We start from the raw sequence: 23766 nt of genomic DNA, 5'->3' as shown, positions 1-23766 counted from the left end.
GCTACTTGGGAGTCTGCAGGGATCGGAGGGGGGTGACTTGGCCAAGGTAACACAACCTGCCTGACCCTCTGGCCATGCACACGTGTGGAGTTTGTTCCCGGGCCCTGTGCCTGTTCAAAGAATGGCTGGACGTCGGTATTGCCCTTGGTTTCTGCCCTGAAGTCCAGTCAGTCAGCAGTTCTGCTTATTCTGACCCTCTCTGTGCAGTATTACCCAACACACATGCATTTCCTCCTTGCCTTCTCAGTATTGCCATCGTGAACCAGAATTGTCACCTCCAATTTAAACAGTGAAGGCCTTTGTTAGGAAGAGGGGCAGGGTGCAGAGGGGGATGGTTGCTTTTTCTAAATCACAGCTCTGATCAAATCCCTCCTAAGCAGAAGCCTTCCAGGCTCCCCTCCATAAGGCTCCAGGTGTTTACTTACCTTGCCTGTCAGGGGCTTCTGCAGCTTGCTTCCTACCTGCTATCTCCACTCCTCTCCAAACCACCATATCCTGAGGCTTCTAGAAAGCAAACTCTGGCGGCATGGGGTTAATGGGTCTGTGTACCCAAGACACTGTACCTGGGTGCTGTCATCTGCCTGACTGACCTTCCTGTGTCCTGGTCCGATGGTGTCTTTGATCCTATAGCTAAGATCAAGACACTGAAAATCTCTAGACTCAAGTCTGTGCTTTTGCTGGGATAAAGTTTGTGTTGAGTACATCTAGGCTGGGTGTGGTAGCTCACGCCTGTAATCTCAGCACTTTGGGAGGCCAAGGCAGGTGGATCATCTGAGGTCAGGAGTTCGAGACCAGCCTGGACAACATGGTGAAACCCTGTCTCTGCTAAAAATACAAAAATTAGCCAGGTGTGGTGGCAGGCGCCTGTAATCCCAGCTACTCAGGAGGCTGAGGCAGGAGAATCCCTTGAGCCTGGGAGGCAGAGGTTGCAGTGAGCCAAGATCGTGCCATTGCACTCCAGCCTGGGGTATAGAGTGAGGCTCTGTCTCCAAAAAAAAAAAAAAAAAAAGTACATCTAAATGGTACGATGCCCATGTTGGCCTATTTGGAATGCCATTCCTTGTCCCACAGAGCCCTGCTCCTCAGAGGCACTTTTCCTGGAGTGACTCTCCCCTTCCTCACCTACACTCACTGTCATTCAGCTGTAGATGCACCAGCGATCATGCTAGTGGTTAAAATATCGAAATACTCCCATCCTGGCTAGAGAATAGCTGCTACCCAAGTGCCCCCGCCCTTCATATGGAAACTAAAGGGTTAATACATGGGGCAGTAGAGGAACTTTGGAGCCCTGTTTTGGTGCACTGGCCTGTGTCTTTTCTGGCTGGTTGGTGTCTGGCCGTACTGGCTATTAAATATTTTGATGAGCATCCCAGCCTCTGTCCCACGTGCATCTTTTCATGAGTGCATATCTGGCTTCCACAGATTGGCACCCCAGCCACACTCTAAGCTCTGGGCACATGGGAGACCTAGTCATTGTCATCTCTGTGTTTTCAGCAGCGTTTAATACAGGGCCTTACCGCTAGTAAGCATGTAAGATTATCTAATGATGGATTGAGGGTAGGGCAGGTTCCGATGGTCAGATGTCCCATAGAAGGTGGTCCCTAACAAGAATATACATTGTAATGTTCCAGGTTTGTCTATTCTGATACTGTGCAAAACGTAGATCTTATAGCCAAGATCAAGGCATCGAAAGTCTGTGGACCTAAGCCTGTGCTTTCACTGAGTGAAGTTTGTGTTTCGGAGTACATCTGAGGTGTTTCTTTCCGTGTAGTTTCACTTGTGTTGGAGAAGCAGGTGGCTGTGGTCTTTGCAGGGTGTGAGAGGGGAGGAGATTAGTGTTGAGCTCCAGCTAATGTTACATAACTCTACTGTAGTCTTCCTTTACCTGGTATTCTTGTGTTCAAATTGCCCCTTGTTTCTGTGCCACTAGTGAAATGGTCAAATGGCTCATTGTTCCTTCTGTAGGACAGTTACCTACATTGCGCCTCAGGCAAGCTTCTGAGGCATCCCAGGATGGGGAGCTGGCGGGGGACCTTATCTGTCAAGCAGCCCAGCCAGGCACCTCACAGTGGACGGAACTGAGTTCTTGAGGGGGTGGCTGAGCAGCCCAGACTCCCAGGTTAGACTCTGAAGACAGCCAGTCTGTGCTTTTCTCTCCTGATGTGAGTCAGAGGCAAACTCTGCCGATGCCAAGACCTCCCTAGAGTTCAGGCAGGGTGAAGATCCTTGTCCTTGGGGTCAGGGCTGAAGCTTCAGGGTGTCCAGGACAGACCTTCAGAGGAGGCCAGCCCTGGAGCCTGGCGTGGGTCTCGGCCTCAAGCCTCTCTGTCCTGCAGAGAGGCCGGCTCAGTCTCTTCACCCTCTCAGGCAGGCCAGGCGACGGTCACCAGTAGCGTCCTGCTCTCTCTGGCATGCTTCCCTTCATCACTGGGTGATGCTGAGTGTCTTTTCCTCCCTCTTTGATGTGACAGTCCCTTTTTGCAGGCTTTTGCAGGCACTGTCCCTCTGCCTCCCAGGTGTGGCACGCATTTCAGGGTGCCTCCATTAGCAGTTTCATGCATTGTTGCCCATGGTGGGGAACAGATGGAGACACAAGGCAGGCAAGCCACCAAAGAGGCTGCAGGGCTGCTCAGGAGATGGAAGGACTGTCTCCAGAGTGGGGTGTATGCCCCATAGTGGCTGCCTAGACCATCCATTAGATTGTAGAATAGAATAGAAACATTAGAACTTCTATGGATAGTTATTTTTTGGCCATCTTTTAAATTCATATTTGTGTGTTTTCTAATGGTCAGAAAATACTTGTATATGGTTTATAGATAAAAGCATTTAATGTGAGGGGTGCATTTATTTATTGGGGTACATCATCAGAAGTCTAGAGAACCAGAAAGTTAACTCCTTCTCTAGCACCAGTATCATGAGAGACCTCTGAATGCCATTTTTTAAAAAGGAAAGAATTTGTCAATTAAAGGGGAATAGAAACTGCTCTCTGGCTAGGTTGTGATTCATGTCAAATAGGCCTGTGACTTAAGGAGAGTCAGGTTAACTCCAGAGTATGTTTTGTCTCTGGTCCCAAAACTTAGCAGTGTGGAAGCCTCATTGGGATCAGGGTTTTATTTTTTTCTCTTTTGTTTACTATCATATCCCCTGAGGCTGGAGCTGACTTGCATATCCTCAATATTTGCAAATTGAATATATGGGCGTTTTTCTTGCATGATAATTAAGTATTATGCTGAGTTGGATGCTTCAAGTCAATATTCAGGTTGCCTCCTTTTGTTTAAACCTTTGGGCAGTTGGCAAGATGCAGCCTACATGCCAGTCAGTTTTACTGTCCTGCACATGATACCCCCACGCGGTAGAACCATAGAGCCGTGGAGGCCTCAGAAATGTCACCTGAGAGACAGGGTGTTGGGATGTAACTTAAAGTAATTTTTTAAGAAGTGGGTATAATGAAACAGCAAAACGTTGATCATTACTGAAGCTGAAGTTGGAGTCACGGGTACATAAAATATAGTTTTATTATACTTCTGTGTCTACTTTTGAATAGATTTGAATTTTCATAATAAATTTTAAGTGAAACATAAAGGGAATATAGAGACCCCAAACTAGTATCACCCATTCCGAGCAGGTAATGGCCGAACTGCATAGTCTCTTTTTCTTTCTGTCTTTTAAACACTGGTCATTATTCTATAATCTTCTGCAACTTGTTAGGTTTGTTTTGATTTTGGCTTCCCCAGAGCCAGTCACCTCTTTTTATAGTTACCTGAGCTCTTTGTGTAATTTTAGCTCATGTCTCGTGGTTGTCACCAGTACCTCTCTTCTCCTTCCCAATACGATGAGCTAAATCCTGGTTAACCTTTTCCCTATTTCACTTGTTGCTTCCTCCAACACCACTGAGGTCTTCCACATGACAGGCACAATTCAGAGGCCAGAACAGGGTCCCATGTTTTTTGCAGGCTGCGTCCAGTCCTGGGGAACCTCATAGCCTGTGATTATCTTCTAGATTCCATTCATGTCTGCTTTTTTTTTTTTCTTTTGGATGGCGTCTCTGTTGTCCAGGCTGGAGCGCAGTGGTGCCATCTTGGCTCACTGCCGCTGCGCCCCCCACAGGTTCAATCGACTCTCCTGCCTCAGCCTCCGAGTAGCCGGGACTACAGGTGTGTGCCATCACGCCTGGCTAATTTTTGTATTTTTAGTAGAGATGGAGTTTCGCCATGTTGGCCAGGCTGGGCTTGAACTCCTGGCCTCAGATGATCCACCCACCTCTGCCTCCCAAAGTGCTGGGTTTACAGGCATGAACCTGTAAACCTGGCCTCATCTCTGCTTTTTAAAGTAACAGCAGGTACCTGTTGAAATCTGTAAAAACTCAACTCAGAAGTGGATTTCTCCAAACTCGTGAGAGGCTGATCTTCTTCTCCCTGGGCAGAGAGGTCTTTGTGTCCTGTCTTCTCACCCGTGTCCTGCTAAGCCATTTCTGTGGTTATCAGTCTCTGAAACCTTGGTCTATTTTAAGAGGTGTGAGTAACTCTACCCAACCTTTGCCCTTTTTAACCTTCTTATCCAGGTCACTGATATGTGATAGCTGTGACCTCTGCGAGCTGTGGGGTGCTGTGGACTCCTTGAAGACAAGGACTGGGTCTTACTCTTCCCAGTTTCCCCCCCCAGGCCTGGGTCCTGGAGGGGACAGGAGGGCTCTGTGAACTAAACACCCACTGGGTGAGGGCGAGCCTCCTTTAGCCAGCTGTTTCTTACTCAGCCAAGACATTGACAAGAATGCTGTCATGGGAGAGAGAGAGGCAGAGGCTCCTGACGGTTGCCTTACAATGCGGCTGCGAGTCCCCAGCCCACCTGCCGCTCCTTCAGGGCCTCCTCCCTGCCTCTTTGCTCACAGCACTGTCTGGCTGTTGCTGGTGTTTCTCCACCCACTCCTGTCTCTGCCTGTTCAGACTTGGCCTGGTTCCACCCTCAGCTCTCTGGACAGCCCTCCCTCGGATGCCTGGTGCATGCGTACTGTTTTCTCCCTCCCCTAGATTCCTGGAGCACCAGGGCCCTACCTGCCGTGGTTATCAGATCTGTCTTCTGTAGCTCTGTTAACTCTTGCAGGTGTGTTTGTCTTCATTGATATCCTAAACTTGCTGAAGGCAAAGAAAACCTTGTAAGTATTTTATCCTCAGGCTTTCTGATTGTCAGGAACTAAGGAGAGTTGGTTATCCCCCTGGAATGTTCAGAGTGTTGCTTCTTTTTTTGTGGTGTGACTCCTTTTTCAAAGAGGCACGAAAGTGGAAGTGGCTCACATAGCAGGTCAGTGGCTGAGCCGGGTCCAGCGTGGGCAGACGGGGCAAAGCATAGCTACATATTTTCCAGGAGGGGTTTATATCCTATCTGTCATTCTGTTCTGAGGACAGGTCACTACCTAAATCCTTCGTGGAGCAGGTGGGAAATACATAAATACAGGAGGACATTAACTGACCTGACTCACTTATAGCTTCTTTATCTGGAGAAACTTTTAAAAATACAGCTAATAGTTAGGATGGCAAGTTTTATATTAATTTTTCCATAGTAAAAAATTGGGAAAAATACAGCAACATACAAAGAACAACAACATAGTAGTAAAAACACCCATAGACTCGCCACATAGAATTGAAGGTTTTAACATTGACTCTTTTCTTCATATATCACTGTTCCCTGGGGGTTTTGGGTATTAGGTGGAAACTTGATTGTTTAGTCCTGGACGCCAGGATTGTGTGGCCATCTTTTCCCTTCTCTTACATAGTCTTGGAGAAGCTACCATGATGTTCATGATGGAAAGAGGCGTAGCTCTCCTCTGTTCCCACTCTCCTTTTTTTTTTTTTTTTTTTTTTTGAGGCGGAGTCTCGCTCTGTCGCCCAGGCTGGAGAGCAGTGGCACGATCTTGGCTCACTGCAAGCTCCGCCTCCCGGGTTCATGCCATTCTCCTGCCTCAGCCTCCCGAGTAGCTGGGACTACAGGAGCCCACCACCATGCATGGCTAATTTTTTTGTATTTTTAGTAGAGACGGGGTTTCACCGTGTGAGCCAGGATGGTCTTGATCTCCTGACCTCGTGATCCACCCGCCTCGGCCTCTCTAAGTGCTGGGATTACAGGCGTGAGCCACTGTGCCCAGCCTTACATGTTCATATTCTGTTTATTTCCATAGTCACCACGGGAAGATGGGAAGATCCTGACTTTGGGCAGAGCACCTGAGAGGACCCCAGGATCTAGGTACCTTCTCTGCGTGCAGTTTCTCAAACAAGTGGAGCTTCCTCTCCATCCATGGCCCTCGGAGGAGGAAAGTGCCTGCATAGCTTGGGGCCAGCTCTGGCTACTGTGAAAGGACATTTGATCCTCTCTGCTGTTCAGTTGTGCTCTCTTCTCCTGGTGTGGTCTCTTGCTTCAGGGCTTACTTTGTGGTTAGCTGAGTCCAGTAAGGTGAAGAGTCTTCTGGATTATTTCAGTGGCAAAAAGCCTTTTATTTCCTTCTTTAGCTTTCGTAATAACAGGCCGTGCTTGTCTTGCCTAATACCCTTAGAACATGCTGTCATGTTCTTCAACTTGCGGTCATAGAGACACAATTCCGACTCTTCCTGTGCTGAACATCAGCTGAAATAACATGCCGTATTGATCCAGTTCATGAGTGAGAAGTTTAGTCTACACAAGCCTTTTCTGTCTTGCTCTTTGCAGAAGGATTGCGTCAGCCTAAAAAGCGGATCTTTTTGTCTCCATCCGCTGCCACAAAGCTGTTGACGGAGGCTATCTGCCCAAGTTGGCTGCCTTCTCTAGCTCTTATCAGTAAACTTATCTGCCTCATTGTGACATATCTACAACAGTTGCTTAGCCTTATTCAATCAGTATTGGAAGACAAGTGGAATCATCTTTCTTCTCATAGGAAATTTTTTGAATGGAAACTTGCCCTCTTAAATATGTACCGCCAAAATTTAGCCCTGCTGTCCCACGCAAAGGCTGTACATGACCTGGATATCGTCATGGGGCATGTCCTAACTATAATCATCATTTTCTCAAGTGGATGTACATGACAGATCTTTGCAGCTGTGTGTGAAGAGAGAAGGGAGGAGAGCTATATGTTTTGTTTTGTTTTGTTTTGTTTGCTCTGGAGAATGTTGGGCATATCCTGTTGTCAGCATTCCGTACATCTCAGGTGGCCGCCCACTAGCTCTGTGTTTCTGGGAGCATTCTCCTCACTAGAGCCCTCGCGTGGGACTCTGGATCTTGTGCTTGAGTCTTGTCTGTTTCCCTGGTTTGGAAGATTCTCTTTTCTGTCATAGAAAACTCACAGAAGTTGGAGTCCAGCCCTGGTATGGGGCTCTGGGCTCAAGCCTTTCTGATATTTGCTGTTTTACTTAAGAAAAGTACTTATTTGATCTCTTCCCTTCCCCCGGGGCAGCCTTGATTTGTTTTAAATGAATCATCAGTCGTCTGTCCAAATCTCACTGTATCTCAGCGTCTTCTAAAGACAGTAGCCCTTAGAGTTGATGGCAGTCTTGGGCTGACATTCTACATAAGTGAAACAATTTGAGAAATATAAAACATGATCAAAATAAGAGCAAGAGAATATTTTTATGTCCCCTTTACATCAGTGGCTCGCACCCTTTTCTTTTTCCCCCAGTCAGCCAGGAGATGTTCTCTACTCCTTTCTGGTGTGCGGTGTAGGAGTCTGGTGGCGGGTAGAAGGAGACTACTGAAGTTGGAAAATGCTTAATACCCCCTTTCTTTTTGGAGAATCACTGTTCTATGAATATATCCTCAAGGGACTTGCTGCAGAGACACAGTCAGAATCACAGAGGGTCTGACACGGTCAGAATCACAGAGGGTCATTCATGACTCAGTAGATGTTTGTTAAGCACCTGTCCTTGGCTCGGGACTGTGTTAAGAACCAAGGGCATATAAAGACAGATGGGAGGAGACCCTGGCCGGGGAGAGGAAGAAGCATCTACATAGGTACTAAGTACCATTCGCTGTAAGTGTAAGACAGGAGGTGCTAAGTACCACACAGGGGTTACAAATAAAGAAGTCCTGGAGTTCAGAGGAAGGACTGATTGCTTCTCATAGAGGGGATTGTGTAGGATTTCTGGGTAGTTGTGGAACCGCCGCCTCCTCCCACATGAAGGAGGGCCCTGAGGACCCTGGAAGGTTGGGCCGGTTGCTCACAAATCACCCTCCTGTCTCCTCCTCCCAGTGTCTCTTCAGTGTTTTGCCATTCATTCTCAGGCTCAAAATTACTTCTCTTTTGTCCATTTGTATCCACTTAAGCAATTTTTAAAAATAATTAAACTTTTTTTATTGTGGTAAAATATATATAACATAAAATTTGTCATGCTAATCATTTTTAAGTATACAGTTACACAGTGGTTTGAAGTACATTCATAGGGTTGTATAACCATTACCACCATCTAGTTCCAGAATGTTTCGTCATCCCGAATTGAAACTCTGTGCCCGTTCAGCAATAACGCTCATTCCTCCTCCCCCTGCCCAGCCCCCAGTAACCTCTCTGCTGCTTTCTGTCTCTGTGAATTTGCTGATTCTAGGTACCTCCTAGAAGTGAGATCATGTAGTATTTGTCCTTTGCTTCATCCATGTCATGGCATGTATCCAAATTTCCTTCTTTTTAAAGGTTGGATAATGTTCCATTGTATAGACTACATTTTGATCCGTTCATCTGTTGTTGGAAATCTGGGTTTGAATCCTGGGCTCTTAAAGCATTGTGCAGCTGGGCGCGGTGGCTCACACCTGTAATCCCAGCACTTTGGGAGGCCAAGGCGGGCAGATCACAAAGTCGGGAGATCGAGACCATCCTGGCCAACACGGTGAAACCCCGTCTCTACTAAAAATACAAAAAAAAAATTAGCCAGGCGTGGTGGCGGGTGCCTGAAGTTCCAGCTACTCCGGAGGCTGAGGTGGGAGAATGGCGTGAACCCAGAAGGCGGAGCTTGCAGTGAGCCGAGATCACACCACTGCACTCCAGCCTGGGCGACAAAGTGAGACTCTGTCTCAAAAAACAAAACAAAAAAAAAGCATTGTGCATCGTGGCTTGTCATTGTCAGTGTCACCTATGCCCTCTGTTTAGACTTGAACACCCACGCACGACTGGGCTGATGTGCTCAGCTCTTGAGGTCTGTGGGCTTTGGCTTCAGACCCAGGCACTCATCCTGTTCTCATGTGGAACTAGGGCAGGACATTTGACTCCTGTACAGTTTCCTGATCTTTGAGCTGAAGGCAGTAACAACCCCGTGCAGTAAGGACTGTGACGAGGACGCATTTAGCCCTGTGCGCAGTCCCGTAGCACAGCACCTGACACACGGCAAGTGCTTAAGCACAGTGGCTCCTAACAAACTCATAACTAAGCCCATTTCCCCAAACATCTTCCTTCCCCTTTCCTATCCTATCCTATCCTATCCGCTTGAGCCCTATCGTTTGTTCCAGATTAATGTGCGAAAGTGCGAGCCCTGAGGTCAGGAGGCACTTCTAGTAGCCTTGTCTCTGTCCCTGGGGCATGAAGGATAGCTCATTTTCCCAGATGATTCTCATTTGTCAAGGACCAGCTCAGCTGTGCCTTCTCCATGCAACCCTCCCTAAGAGCAAATGCTCCCTGTCAGAATTCATTTTGCACTTACTGCTACTCTGTTATCCACTATTTTGTGTATACATTTATGTTATGTCTTTTAATTCCAAGCCCAATATAAGATTCCTGTCCCAATATAAGATGAAAGTGTCCCAAAATTCTCCTTCAGCCTTCCTAGTTAAGTCTTACCAAGGCTGTCATAGTATGAGGTGCTCTCAGCCCCTGTATTTGGAACAGCCTCGGGGAGAGAGGGCACCTTGTCCTGAAACCGTCTCTACCAGTCCTAGTCATGGGTCCTTGTACAGGTCAACTAGCTGAATTAGACTTTTTCTACAGCAAATGTAATGCTAGCTGGGTAATTATTTCTTAGGGTTTCAGCTTACAAAGGCAAATGTTGGTTGTTACTGTAAAAAGTGCATTTAAAAATCAGTTTAAAAAGCTATAAATAGAGTATGAGGTTTAGTTAGATAAATGTGGACCCATAGGACAAAATTTCTCCTGTTCTAATATCATTCAAATGTGTTCTTGTGACTTGGGAGAATTTTTTCACTAGTAGCACATACATGACTTCAAAAACTGCTTCAATTTCAACAACTTCAGTGGAAGAGGAAAATGTGAATGTATGCCACAGAAAACCATTCGATGCCTCAAAAAGTGGCTGTAGAGATGCCCCAAACCCTGTTTGAAGATGCATATTCAAAGAACTCAAATAACATATTAATGAAATGTGGTTTATTTGTTTATTTTATTTTTATTTTTTTTGAGACAGAGTCTCGCTCTGTCGCCCAGGCTGGAGTGCAGTGGCGCGATCTCAGCTTACTGCAAGCTCCGCTTCCCAGGTTCACACCATTCTCCTGCCTCAGCCTCCCAAGTAGCTGGGACTACAGGCGCCTGCCACCACGCCTGGCTAATTTTTTTTTTGTATTTTTAGTAGAGATGGAGTTTCACCGTGTTAGCCAGGATGGTCTTGATCTCCTGACCTCGTGATCTGCCCGCCTCGGCCTCCCAAAGTGCTGGGATTACAGGTGTGAGCCACCGCGCCCGGCCTAATGAAATGTGAATTTAAAACAGTATTTCTAAAGTAATTTAGTTCTTCATGTGATTTAACTGGAGATGTAGTTTAATGAATACAGAAACTGCTATAAGATATTTGACCCTGCATCCTAAAAATTTATCTGTTCAAATTCGACATATTGTGTTTGAGATCTCTTTATTTTGGGGGGCATATATGATATTTGTGACCAATGTGAATGGTTGAGGTATGGTCCTCATTTTACTGGTTAACAGTTCAAAGCTTTGTGTCTCACTCTTTCTCTGATAACTTTATAAGGGGATGGGCAGGGAGTGGTTTAAGTGTAGAAGTATTCAGCTGGACTTGAATATTTCAATAAGTCAGATTAATAAAATCAGGGCATCTGCTTTGTTTCTTCTTTTTACATCCTTAGGAAATTCAATTGGTGATCTATAAGATCACTTTAATGAAAATTAAGTGGGTTTAAGATTTATTATACTTAATTGGGAAGAAAAAGCCACAAGGCAGTGGGTGGGAATAACTGACTCCCTGTGGAACCACTTGCATGTTTGTTATGGGATCCCAAAGTTACCCCAAATCTTTCTCCTGATGCTCAGAGTGAGGAGATGGGCCCAGAGCAGTGACCACAGTCAGGGAGATCAGTGGGATAGGGTTTGGACAGCAACCTCTGCTTTCCTCTCCAGCTGGGAGACTGGCATCTCTTTTGAGCTGCCGTACCTCCCTCTCTCTAGGGAGAGCCTGACTGCTCTTTTGGTTCAAAAGGGAATGGCTTAAGCAAATCTAACTTTAGGGAATTTGCCAAGCCAGGGTTAAGGAGCACGAATCCAACAGGTTTGGAGTGGTGCTTTGAAAGAGCAGCAAATGGCCTGGCTGCTGCTCTCTTGTTCCTCCCTGAAGCCTGAGCTCTGCCCAGCTAGTGAATGACAAAGGGGGCGCTTTCAGCCTCTGTAAATAGCCTATTGTACAAGGGGAGGAGGCGGGGCACGGAATGGCAGCATCTTGCCAGCTTGGGTTGCTGCGTTAAGGAAAGATGTCAGGCTTTCTTAATTTGCCACTGCAGGGGCAAGGGTGTCATTTATGTGGGTTTGTTTGAGGGCTGCATTCCTAGTGAAGTATTCCATCAAACTGCCATTATTCATCTTGATGAAAGCTTGAGGAACTTTAGAAGGAGAGAAACATCCAGACCACCCGGTTTTTGGTTTCTAAATGACATGAAGAGAATACAATGTTAATGTAAGTAAAAGTTTGCAGAGTTGCAGGGGCAGTGTGTGTGTGTGTGTGTGTATGTTTGTGTATGTGTATCTTCAAGAGAATGATGTCCTTGTGAGTCACCTCTGGCCCTGAGCCACTATTTTCATGGTACAAATAAAATGGTGAAGAGGTGAACCTTTGTGTATAGTGGGCCTTGAACTCACCACGTGTTCAGAGGCCAGGGTGATACAATAAATGCTAACGTTTTTGTAAGACATTGAGCATTTAGGTGGACCTCAGGAGGGAGCTGTCATAATACCTGGGAGTGTGAGTACTGGAAGGACTTTAGAAACCTGACCTCATGGTTCCTAACCTGGGTTGGGCTAAAGGAGACTTGTGATAGTTATGTGTGTTCTCAGGGGAGAGGGTCAGTGGCTTAGCATAGTTAAGAATTATTAGCATAGGTTGGATTTAGAGTCACATTGGTTGGTGTCCCGTTCTTGACTAACATCCTGGGGAAGGCTTATAAGTCTCTGGCCTTGGTTTCTTCCTCATCAGTTTGCTTTTGTGATGTTCAGATAAGACACTGGATATGAAAGCCTTTCCAAAACACTAAGTAAATGCTAATTGCATTTTTAGTTCTATCCAAAGTTTGGGTAGACGGGTACCAGGATTTTGGTTTCTGACAGTCCGTGCAGTTCAGTTTCCATCACCCTGCCTCGCTATGCCTGTCTCTGCCCAGGTCTATTTAAAGGAATCTCCTGTGCTGGATCTTTACACTGGGCTTGTGCCCAGATTTCCTTGGCCATTGTTACCTTCCCCATCCTTCTGTGGTTTTAGACTCCAGGTTTACAGAAAACCCAGCTGAGCAAACCCACTTTCTGTAAGAGTGGGGAGGAGGGTGCACAGGAGTGGCTGTAGAGGAAGGAGAAGCTGGCTGTCAGTAGCCTTATGTGTTCCCAGCTGGGAAATACTGGCTCCTTAAGCCTTTAAGCCAATTGAATTATATTTTTGGCAAACAGCGGCATGATTTACATGCCCAGGCTATAAATTTCCTTAGATGTTTATATGGAAATTTGATTTTGAAAGAATAAAGAAATATTCAAACCAGAACACTACTGGAATAAGAATACAATCTGTCTGAGTTTTACCATTTGTTAGCAAGTGTATGAGTCTTAGTCCTTCTTAGAGACCCCTTAGTCTAATGCTTATGTTCACATACAGCGTTGAAAGACTATTTCTTGTGCCTGATTTTCTTTGGATGTAGGTGTACCTCCATTTTTAAATACCCCAAGTGCCTTTTCCTTAATAGCAGTTAATAGAAGGGAAAAGATTTATAATGCTATCAGTGTCTGTTTAAGAGTTGTTCTTCACACATATCTAAATGAGCTATTGTCTTAGTTCTTTATGCATAGACTATAGTTTTCCTATGTATAGCATTAATCAGTTTGTTCAGTGAAGTTGGCTTGCAGCTTGTTACCTGGCTGCCATTTAAGAGGCATGAATTAAACTGCTATAGTTTGTCATTATCACCCACTAAATATAGGAATTTGGCTGGATTCAAACCCTTAGTATTATAGATTAGTATCTAATGAAATGTTCTTGTACACATGCTACTAAATATATAATTTTCTGAAGTTTTTTTTTTAAAGTGTTCTTTCTTAGATTTAATAAACTTTCTTGGTGTAAAGCAGTCTATAGCATGGCTACTGCTGATGCTTAAAATAGACAAATTAATCCCCTGTGTCTGACTGTATTTGTTTACAGAGGAATTATTTAAGATTCTCACTCAGGGATGTGATCCTGTTGAACAGCACCTGCAAATTCACACAATCTAGGTTTTATGGGAGTTACTCTAGGAGCTTTGGGGAGAGAAGAGAGAAAGGCATGGCAGTGTGTGTCGGGGTGAGTACTTCCTATTCAGGCCTGGAGTGCTGCAGGGTGATGAAGACAACTAGAGGTGGAAGGATTTGAGGGCAAGGCAAGTTTGCACATTATATTCCCAAGGCTGCTTTGAGGTTGTGGAGTTGCAATACTGTTTCTGAAATCTGAACACTCAGTGTCAATAGGACATGGACTTGATTTGTCTGCTTATCCCGCCTGGTGTACATCCCTTCCTCAGAAAGGCCTTCCCCCGTGCCTTGCAGACCTTGCTTGTTTGATTTTTATCTTCCCTGCTAGAAGGTTAGCCCACTGAAAGCCTAGACCAGGTCATCAACACTGTCTTCCCAGCGCCTGGCCAAAGCCTGGCTCACACTAGGTGCTCAGATATGCAGTGACGGGAGTAGCTCAATTCCTATGTATTCGTCTAGAATAAATCTGCTGTCAGCATGCTCTGGGCAATCTGTTTCTTTCTTGGTATGCCTTACCTTGGTTAGACATACCACCCGGCATCCTATCCTTCATTTCAGTGGTTTAAAAAATATATGCCCGTTGTCTCTTATTGGGAAGCTGAGCAGAAAGAAAACAGTGTCTGTTTTCAGAACCGGTCCTGGCAGCAACACTCACTGATGCCTGTCCCTGCCCATGGGTGGAGCAGTGGGGTGACTTTGCTGCTGGCTGCCCATTGGCCTATCCTCCACCCTCTGCTCTCCTGAGAAGTCAAGTGTGGATTTTGTCTGCTAGTTACCTTTAGCCCAGTGGGCAGCAGCGTGGGGCTCGGCATGTGACTTGTGCCCTGAGAGACCTTGGTAGGCTGGGGGAGCGCAGCTGAGCCCTGCTAACCCCCGCCCACTTCCAGGCTCATTGCCCTCTTCTGTGTCTGCAGTGGGGTGTCACCTAGTAGTCAGCTGTTGGTGGCACAGATGGTGAGTGGTTTTGTTAAGTGCTGGTGCCTTCTTTCCAGAACCATGGCCTGAAGAAATCTGCTTATCTGTTCTTTCTTTGCTGTCATGGTAAACCTTGAAATTTCGTGTGTGTGTTTGTGTGTGTGTGTGTGAGTGAGTACACTTACATGGATTCATTGTAGCAGAGATTGAATGAGCAGAGCAAATACATTATGTTGGTTCTGGTAGTATTAATGGCCTGTAAAACAGAGACCATTAAATTTAAAATTAATTTCATTTAAATTTAAATTTTAGCAGAAAATTTCTGTATTTTAACAAAGAAAAAGAGATGCAAATCAAAACCACAATGCATTTCTCTGATGACCAGTGATGATGAGCATTTTTTCACGTGTCTGTTGGTGGCATAAATGTCTTCTTTTGAGAAGTGTCTGTTCATATCCTTTGCCCACTTGTTTGTTGTTTTTCTTGTAAATTTTTGTTTTTTTTCTTGTAAATTTGTTTGGGTTCTTTGTAGATTCTGGATATTAGCCCTTTGTCAGATGGACAGATTGCAAAAATTTTCTCCCATTCTGTAGGTTGCCTGTTCACTCTGATGGTAGTTTCTTTTGCTGTGCAGAAGCTTCTTAATTTTGTCTGAACACTCCTTGTAGGCAGTGTTTTTACCTGCGTGCTTTACTTGTTCTGCACTCAGGATGAATCACAGAGCGTTGGTAGAGGAAATAATCATAAAATCTAATATTTTTGAGCACTTTCTAACGTGTGTGAGATCATTCTTACCTCTTTATGTGAGTCATTTAGCAGTCAGAAAAGCCCTGCGAGATAAGGTGCTATTTCCGTCTCCATTTACAGATGAGGAAACTGAGGCACAGGGAAGGGAGGTCATATGTCCCAAATCATACAGCTCATATGCCAGGGAGGCAGAATTTGGCTCTAGCATCTAGGGTCTTTTTTTTTTTTTTTCTTTTTTGAGACGGGGTCTCACTTTGTTGCCCAGATTGGAGTGCAGTGGCACGATCCCGGCTCACTGCAACCCTCTGCCTCCTGGATTCAGGCGATTCTCCTGCCTCACCCTCCTGAGTAGCTGGGATTACAGGTGTCCACCACCACACCTGGCTAATTTTTGTATTTTTTGAAGAGATGGAGTTTCACCGTGTTAGCCAGGCTGATCTCAAACTCTTGACCTCAGGTGATCCACCCGCCTCGGCTTCCCAAAGTGCTGGGATTACAGGCATGAGCCACCGCGTCCGGCTGCATCTAGGATCTCAAATACTATTCTGTACTTTCTTTCCAACACTGTGCTGTATTCCCTCTTTAGATATCTGGTGGTTGGTTTAAAGTTTATGCACACCAATTTATCTGTTTGTTTCTTTTGGCTATAATGTCTTGGGGAGTGTAAAAGAAACTCATCTTACCAGATAGCCAACTATGGGTTTCCCAGCATTTATATTGCCACTGTTGTCGTGTGAGGAGTACAGAAGGTGAAATTTACATTGGTGTGTTTAACCAGTTTGGGAACTTGTTCTGAGATCTGTTGGAAGAAATAGAAACTGATGGCCCTTAGGTGGTTTGGGCTTGTACTTCCCCTTCACTCATATTCCCATTAGCCTTGACAATGAGAGTCGAGTGTTTTTGATTAGGTGGATGGACGAGAGCAGAGACGTAGTAGCAAAGAAGAAAATAGAAACTTAAATCTACTTATTTGAGTTTTTATGGGAAGAATTCTTCTTGAGTAAAATCTTTTTAATATGGTTAATGAAAGGAAGAGAATGGGGTTTTTTCAATACAAGGTAATGGAGAAATAGAATGAAAATGAAATCCTAAAGTGTTTTTAGAAAAATGACACTTGACAGCCAGGAAAAGCCCCGGATCATTAGATTGTGGGTTTAATGCCTGGACTGGCCGAGCAGCTACCCAATTAGATGGCTGGCCGGTGGAATTTTGGAGTTCTGGAGAGGGGTCCTGCTTCCCTGGAACGAACGTGACATTTTTCTCTCCCAACAGAATTCAGCTTAGAGAACTATCAACACAGGACAATGCAAGCCCATGAGCTGTTCCGGTATTTTCGAATGCCAGAGCTGGTTGACTTCCGACAGTACGTGCGTACTCTTCCGACCAACACGCTTATGGGCTTCGGAGCTTTTGCAGCACTCACCACCTTCTGGTACGCCACGAGACCCAAACCCCTGAAGCCGCCATGCGACCTCTCCATGCAGTCAGTGGAAGTGGCGGTGAGTGGAGGGCCCAGCCTGCCTCGTGCGTTTTCTCCGCATTTCCCCAGATGAGCTGAGCCCTGTTGAATGTGATAGCCATCAAGATCAAATATTTGTTTATAACTGCACTTTGTAAATGGAAATGTGCCAAATTACTGATGGTGGTAAATAGAGGTACAGGGCAAAATATAGGCACAGGGACAGATGAGAGGGTGTCGGTTGGGTGTCTACCTCTCGTCACATGGAAGATCATTCTAGAAATGACATTGAGTTTCTACGCTGTGGTAGGCACTGTGGTCAGCCTGGAGGATTCCATAAGGAAAAATATAGCACAGAACCCCTGTTCTCACAGGGATTAGATTCTGGCAGGAATGAGAGTTTTCAAACAAATGTTACCAAAAGAATGCACTCGTGGTACATCTGACGCTTAGAACATATCCCTAGCCTGTTGGAAGGGACTTTGGGATTTCAAATAGAATAGGGCTGGAGTAAGAACTTGACGGAAGAACACGGCTGCAGAATTCGGGGCAGGACATGAAGAAACAACCCTCAAGAGGCGCGTCTGGCTGGGCTGCTGAGCGCCGTGGTTGTGTGTGACTTGGGCAAACTGGAGGCTGTGCTCTCATGTTAGGAAAATGAAACTGGAATGCGGGCAATTAGGGCTTAATAGGAGGGATGGCGTAAGGAAACCTTAGGATCCTTTCAGGAAGATTCTTAGTGCTCCTGCTCTCCCTGCCTTCCCTAGTGAGAAAGGCAGGGTGTGGAGAAGATGAAGAGGCCGCATGCTCACTGGTGCTTCCACTCCTCACCTGTTCTTTGGTTTTCTCTGTGGTCGCTTGCTTTCCCCTACCCAAGTCAGTCACCCTTCAGTGTTTCCCGCATTCAGCAGATATGCAGAAGAACATTGTGAAACACAAGATCCCCCCATTTACTGCTTCCAGATGTAAGAGATGGAAGGCCTCCCCCACCCCCCCGGGCTGACTGCCGCAGAGGGAGTGTGTGCCCTTCCACATAAAGCCCTGGCTGGAGTCAGCATTTTTGTTATTTATGGGATTCTAGGTCTTTGTTTTATTTTAGACAAGTTCTTGGATTCATTAATGTGAAACTCTTAAAATATATAAAAGATTCTTCAGTCTAATTCATGCCAAAATATAAATATAGAATGACTGAACTACAGCTGAGAAAAGTTAACTTTCTACTTGATTTCTATTTAGAAGGTCAGGGTACCTTAATATTTCACCTCAGCTAATCACATAGGCTGGGGAATGAGTGGAATCTCCCTTTTCCTAAGGGATTCCTGTGAGGTTCTGGCATTCCTTCTCTACTGGCAGAGCACCTGATGTGTCACGGCAGCGCTGCCATCTCCATGAAGAGTTGTTGGCAAGTGCAGTGTTAAGACATGTATAACTTAGCAGTAACTGTAAGAAATGAGTAATTCCTATTATATGAGAAATTGTGGGGGCACTTACGTGTGGTTTTAAAGCTTTAGCTTAGCATAAAGGCATTGTGCCTTGTTAAAATAATTACATATGTTCTCTCTAGAACAGTTTAAAACTTGAGATATGCAGCAAGAAATGAAAATCTATAATTTTACTGCCCAGTATAGAGGCTTCCTGATTTTTCTCTGTTTATAGACATTGATTTAGCTCTGATTTTCAGAATTTGTGGGGCTTAGAAATAGATACTGAGCTTGCTTTGCCTTTTTAAAAAAGAAGTTAAAAGTTTAAATTTAAAAGTAGCTCTGGAATTCTGGTGCTTAATAATTACAGATGCTTTGATATAGCTAGCATCATCCTGTGGACACCTAGGGCAGGGAAAGAGGAACTTGATTCACTTCATAAGGTACCGGTGAAGAGCCTGTGCATCTGGCACTGCTGCGGGGGGCTGGTGGCCGGAGTGGAATATTGTTGCTGTGTTCCTACTTTGAAAACAAGTAAGCAGGGTTTGCCAGTTCCCACCCTCATTCTGCACCCCCATCTCACATGCACAGTTTTTATCACCCTCCTTGTCCAATAAAGTTTACACGGATACTAAAATGAGAAGAATCCGCACTTTTTGGTTTGGCCACTTCTCATCACAACCCACGCTGGCTGTTTCCCAGCTACTGATTTTTAAGGCAGTAGCACAGAGGTTCTTTGTAAATTATACCTTCTGAAATTTCCTTTTAAAAATCAGGATTGTAGAGCTGGGTGCAGTGGCACATGCTGTAATCCCTGCACTTTGGGAGGCCGAGGTGAGAGGATTGCTTGAGGCCAGGAGTTTGAGACCAGCATGGGCAACATAGCAAGGCCTCATCTCTATAAATTTTTTTATTTTAATTAGTTGGGTGTGGTGGCTCATGGCTGTAGTCCCAGCTACTCGGGAGACTGAAGTGGACGAATCATTTGAACCCAGGAGTTGGACACTGCAGTGAGCTATGACTGTGCCACTGCACTCCAGCCTGGGCAACAGAGCGAGACCTTGTCCCTAAGAAAAATAAAAATCAGGGTTGTAAAGAGGAGGTTAACACTCATGCTGGTCACCTCTAATGAAGACCTAAATTAGAGAACAGGACAGACAAGCTGGGTTAGGAACAGAATCCAAAAAGTGTTTCTTAAGTGTTGGAGCCCGGACTGATCAGGGCCCTGTCTGGAGAACCACGTCCTTGTGTCTGTAGTGGCAGCTCACAGTCATAACTGTGATGCCCTGCGTGCCAAGGAAGAGCTTCTATCTTCTGAAGGATTTTGCTGCTGCTGCTCTGTGACTTTGAGCAATGGATAGAAGCAGATTTTGTGGGTTTGCTTTCTTTTTACATCACTGTCACAGATAATGCAAGATTTCTGGTGTTAGCCAGTGTTCCGGTTTAGCCTGGCTACATGTTTTAGCCTCTTCTCTGAGATTGAAGCCCCATGGCCCCCTAGTGAAAACGATCTTCACTGGAGTGACTGGAAACCTTTTCGGATTGGTCGGAGCCCAGACACACGTGGTTGCAGTTAAGCAAAGTACAGGAGCATGTTGGAGCGGAAAGGGACCAGGGAAAAGAGGGATGGGGCAGATGTGGGACTGGACTCCAACTTAGACCAGGCAACCTTGGGCAAGTTCACCAGGATTTTCTGACCTTCAGATTCCTCATATGGAAAACCGAAGTGACAGTACCTTTCCTCCTTCAGTGTTGCTAAGAGGACTGAAGAGTTATGCAATGTCTGCTTGGCCCACAATAAGTATGCAGCAATGTTACTTTTTTCCCTTTGTCTTTTAATCTTCATATTTTATACACAAGAAAACTGAGTCCAAAGAGGTAAAATTATATCATACAGTTAGTAGAAGGTCCAGAACTCTGTTATGCTGCCTTCATTATAGTAGTAGAAAGTTGTATATTATAACTAGGGCTTTGGGGAAGGGGGCAGTAAACCAGGATAGAAAGTTTGGATCTGTCCAGATCAATATGAAGAGTCAGTGGCTTGAGCCTCTAAACCCAGGAGCAGGCTTGTTTGTTTGTTTATTTATTTAGAGACAGGGTCTCGCTCTGTTGCCCAGGCTGGAGTGCAGTGGTGTGGTCATAGCTCACTACAGCCTCAAACTCCTGGGCTCAAGCTGTTCTCTCACCTCTAACTCCAGAGTAGCTAAGACTATAGGCATGCACCACCATGCCTGGCTAATTAAAAAAAATTTTTTTAGAGATGAGGTCTTGCTGTGTTGCCCAGGCTGGTCTCAAACTCCTGGGCTCAAACAATCCTCCCACCTTGGCCTCCCAAAGTGCTGGGATTACAGGTGTGAGCCACAGCACCTGGCCTAGAGCAGGATCTTTTGAAAATGGATATGCAGGCAAATGAGTCTAAAGGTAGTGATGGAAATGGAAGGAGCAAAAGGGACAGGTAAAATAAAAACAGAGTCTAAGTTCTGTTGGGTATAGGATCAGAAATTGTCAAGAATCGGGTAGTGGGCTGGGCACAGTGGCTGACGCCTGTAATCCTAGCACTTTGGGAGGCCAAGGTGGATGGATCACCTGAGGTTAGGAGTTCAAGACCTGCCTGACCAATATAGTGAAACCCCGTCTCTACTAGAAATACAAAAATTAGCCAGGCGTGGTGGCGTGTGCCTGTAATCCCAGCTACTCGGGAGGCTGAGACGGGAATTGCTTGAACCTGGGAGGCGGAGGTTGCAGTGACCCGAGATTGCACCACCGCACTCCAGCGGGGGCAACAGAGCGAGACTCCATCTCAAAAAAAAAAAAAAAAAAAAGAATCAGGTAATGGAGAGGACTGGCATGAAGGGGGCACAGGACTGTGAAAACCTGAGTGACTCTGTCCTTCCCTCATCCTCTATCCCTGAACCAGGTCAGACATAGATGGAATCAGAGCAGGAGTTGGTGTTGATGTGGTTTCAGGTCCACCTATCAGAGTTTGAGAGATTTAGGCCATGAACCATTATGAATATAGATGAGAACCTTTGTAATTGCTGAAGGAGGTAGTAGTGCAGGCAAGTCCTGTGTGCAAGACCTGCTGCTCCCAGTTAGTACGGACCCCTGTGACATTCACAGAAGTTCAGAATGTCTGAGATGCTCTGCAGGCTACCTTATCTCCGTCTGCAGCTACACCTCCAGTGATCACAATCAGTGCTACGCTGGCACAGCCAGCCTGGCCCTGCTCTGGATTGGAGGCATCCTCAAGGGCTGCTTGCTGTGGAAGCAGTTTCGCTGGACCGAGAGGAGCCACTGGAATTTTGGGTACTGGGCCTTAGGGTCACCCGGGAATGGGAATGGCTGCTGTGTGGCCCTGTTTGCCAGAGGGGGCCATTGGTGATGAGCCCCATGCAAGTGGCATCTGCCCTTCACCTGCTCCTTCTAAGCCAGCGGGATGGAGACCCTCCAGAGAGAATATGTGAGTTCCTCTCCTTATGAGAGCCGTGGTATGGGCATTGAGATGACTGACTTGTCAAATTAGTTCGGAAAGATTTTTGACAACTACTACAAGATCATAATGTACTTGAACAAAAACCTGTGATATGTGTTATTTGTTTGTTTTTAGATATTGGAGAAGGGAATAAATTTTAGCAAGTAAAAACTTTTTTATGCCTTCACGTCTTTTCTAAGACTTAATTTTAAGAATATCAGAACCTGGATTAAGGTTTACTTCTGGTGACTAACCCAGTTAGTCTATCACAGATTCACTGTTTAGATTGTTATCAGACCTTGGTTCCAGCATGGGTTCATATCTTACAATACACAGAACCAGTTCCTTGGGTATAACTGATCTCGTTTCCTAGTTGGATGACTAAATTCCACACCAAACGATCTCTTGACCTCCAGGTCACATGCTGGCCGGTGGCCCTTTTGCATGAGAGATTGAAATTTGTACATCCATATGTTAGCATATATATGGTTAGCGACTTGCTTTAGCATTTTAATCCTATGCTTCATAAAGCCTGCCACAGAGGATGTGGCGCTTTGGGTTTCATTCTCCACAAGTCACAGAGAATAGTTATCAGATCTATATTCACTCAGCAAGGACTTGAGTTTTTCTGGCATGATGTGCACAGTACCAGGGCAGAGAAGGCTGCTGCCCTCAGGGAGCTCCAGGCCAGCAGGAAGTACCGCTCGGACCCCTTGTCCTTGGCAGAGGGTGAGAGCCATCTTGAGACTAGAGCAGTCAATGCAAGTGACTTGTTTTCATGCCATAGAACTACAGCTGTGGGTTCATTCTCAGGTAAGGATTTGGAAGAAGCAAACTAAAGGCAACATATCCAGGCTGTGGGAGCCACGCTCAATCAACAGCATGGTTTACAACTCAAAAGTCACACTCCACCAGAGGCCTTCTCAGTGTCATGGCCTGCATGAACAAACCACAGACCTCCAGCTCACATGCACACTGCAACAAGGACTGGCATCCTTCATCCATGTTTAGAGGGTGTATATGGAGCATATTACCAAGTAGGATTTCCCCGTGTGGCTGGTGGAATCCCTCATTTCCACGTAACCATACTTCACACATGTACGCATGTAAAGGCCCACTTGCAAACTAGGAGAAATAATTTTTGCAGGAGAAGAGAGCAGCTCGTTGATTCATAAGTTTTTATGAAGACTCACACCAGACTTGTGGAGGTAAAGCAAGTGTGGGCCTATAGGGATCATGCCAGTGGAAACGCTAAGGGCGGCGAGACACCCTTCTGGACTTGAGTGGCTGGGGCCCGCTGTGAGCGGGAGCTGTTGTTGATCTGGGCAGGATTACACGTGTCTGTGAGGCAGACATTTAGAGACAAGCCTTAGTGGAAACTGCCAGGAGTGGGCAGGAAGGGAGCTGTCCAGGAAGGGCAGCTGGGGTTGAGTTGGATGGTGGTGTCACTCGCCCTCACTGACACCAGCCTGATGGGTCTGAAGAAGGTCTGTCACAGTCAGTTGCAAGGCAGGGCAATAGATGAATGATTTTGAACCAGGTGGGAGGTATCAGGTGAACGCTGAGAGGCAGGGACAAGTATTAGGAACAGTAGTAGCATCTGGTTGTTTCTGCAGTCATTTGTAAATATGACCTAATAAATACTGTTTCTACAGTCATTTGTAAATGTAAACCTAATTCTCATCTCTGGGAAGCTTTGGAACAGAAATCAGTTATCCGATGTGTATTTAACTAGAAGCCTGTGTGAGACTTCAGAAGAATCTCCTGATCCAATGCTCTGGTTACATCCCTATCCTTCATCCTTATGGAAATCTGGGATGTTTTTAGGCATTAACTTCCATTTATTACCATATGTGATTGCAGATTCCGGGTCAGTGTTCCCCATGGCCTGTTATTCCATGGTCTTGATAGCAACATAATTGTGCAAATGGTCAAATGAAGATGGGAGCAAAGATTTCCCCTTTTAATTCTACCCCTAGCAACTTTGCTGACGTTGTGCTCAGAGAATTCCTGAAAAGTATTCCAGCATTTGAGGACATTTGCGGCAAGCGATCCTGGCAGTTGGGGCAGTGGGGTGGTGTAT

General features: G+C 45.6%; 1 protein-coding gene and 1 pseudogene across 29 annotated transcripts in view, besides 7 other annotated features; both read left to right on the top strand.

The window, feature by feature from the left end:
• ACSL1 (acyl-CoA synthetase long chain family member 1) overlaps positions 1 to 23766 on the top strand; it is a 71000-nt gene that overhangs the window by 6445 nt on the left and 40789 nt on the right. For 8 of the 28 annotated variants that reach the window (NR_167706.1, NR_167705.1, XM_017007887.2 and 5 more), the window contains one exon: positions 16604 to 16830. The exons of 3 other annotated variants lie outside the window; for them this stretch is intronic. Coding sequence is in view for 18 of the 25 variants with exons in the window: in XM_017007887.2 (XP_016863376.1) it covers positions 16636 to 16830 (195 nt within the window). In the remaining 7 variants the exon portion in view is untranslated. Of the gene's footprint in view, positions 1 to 5025; positions 5153 to 6172; positions 6238 to 7898; positions 7991 to 11618; positions 11859 to 14596; positions 14711 to 16603; positions 16831 to 23766 lie in introns of those variants that run through there. 17 more of the 28 variants (NR_167708.1, NR_167698.1, NM_001381886.1 and 14 more) reach the window with 8 other exon arrangements.
• Positions 1637 to 1726: an enhancer, noted in NCBI's record as "active region_22239". NCBI's record gives its function as "activates an Ori minimal core promoter by ATAC-STARR-seq in GM12878 lymphoblastoid cells {active_cell/tissue: GM12878}" and the evidence as "EXISTENCE:reporter gene assay evidence [ECO:0000049][PMID:35858748]".
• Positions 2367 to 2446: an enhancer, noted in NCBI's record as "active region_22238". NCBI's record gives its function as "activates an Ori minimal core promoter by ATAC-STARR-seq in GM12878 lymphoblastoid cells {active_cell/tissue: GM12878}" and the evidence as "EXISTENCE:reporter gene assay evidence [ECO:0000049][PMID:35858748]".
• Positions 4011 to 4090: an enhancer, noted in NCBI's record as "active region_22237". NCBI's record gives its function as "activates an Ori minimal core promoter by ATAC-STARR-seq in GM12878 lymphoblastoid cells {active_cell/tissue: GM12878}" and the evidence as "EXISTENCE:reporter gene assay evidence [ECO:0000049][PMID:35858748]".
• Positions 4361 to 4680: an enhancer, noted in NCBI's record as "active region_22236". NCBI's record gives its function as "activates an Ori minimal core promoter by ATAC-STARR-seq in GM12878 lymphoblastoid cells {active_cell/tissue: GM12878}" and the evidence as "EXISTENCE:reporter gene assay evidence [ECO:0000049][PMID:35858748]".
• Positions 4861 to 4920: an enhancer, noted in NCBI's record as "active region_22235". NCBI's record gives its function as "activates an Ori minimal core promoter by ATAC-STARR-seq in GM12878 lymphoblastoid cells {active_cell/tissue: GM12878}" and the evidence as "EXISTENCE:reporter gene assay evidence [ECO:0000049][PMID:35858748]".
• Positions 5061 to 5240: an enhancer, noted in NCBI's record as "active region_22234". NCBI's record gives its function as "activates an Ori minimal core promoter by ATAC-STARR-seq in GM12878 lymphoblastoid cells {active_cell/tissue: GM12878}" and the evidence as "EXISTENCE:reporter gene assay evidence [ECO:0000049][PMID:35858748]".
• Positions 11234 to 11779: an enhancer, noted in NCBI's record as "NANOG hESC enhancer chr4:185729525-185730070 (GRCh37/hg19 assembly coordinates)". NCBI's record gives its function as "activates a minimal SCP1, AML or CMV promoter by ChIP-STARR-seq in naive H9 embryonic stem cells {active_cell/tissue: H9 hESC(naive)}" and the evidence as "EXISTENCE:reporter gene assay evidence [ECO:0000049][PMID:30033119]".
• SLED1 (proteoglycan 3, pro eosinophil major basic protein 2 pseudogene) lies at positions 21104 to 21854 on the top strand (annotated as a pseudogene). Its single transcript, NR_003542.1, has one exon. The product of NR_003542.1 is annotated as a proteoglycan 3, pro eosinophil major basic protein 2 pseudogene (transcript).

The sequence above is a fragment of the Homo sapiens genome, chromosome 4 (genome assembly GCF_000001405.40).
Source record: "Homo sapiens chromosome 4, GRCh38.p14 Primary Assembly".
Lineage (NCBI taxonomy): Eukaryota > Metazoa > Chordata > Mammalia > Primates > Hominidae > Homo > Homo sapiens.
The sequence above is the reverse complement of the archived record's forward strand: the minus strand, read 5'-3'. Positions and strand labels throughout refer to the sequence as shown.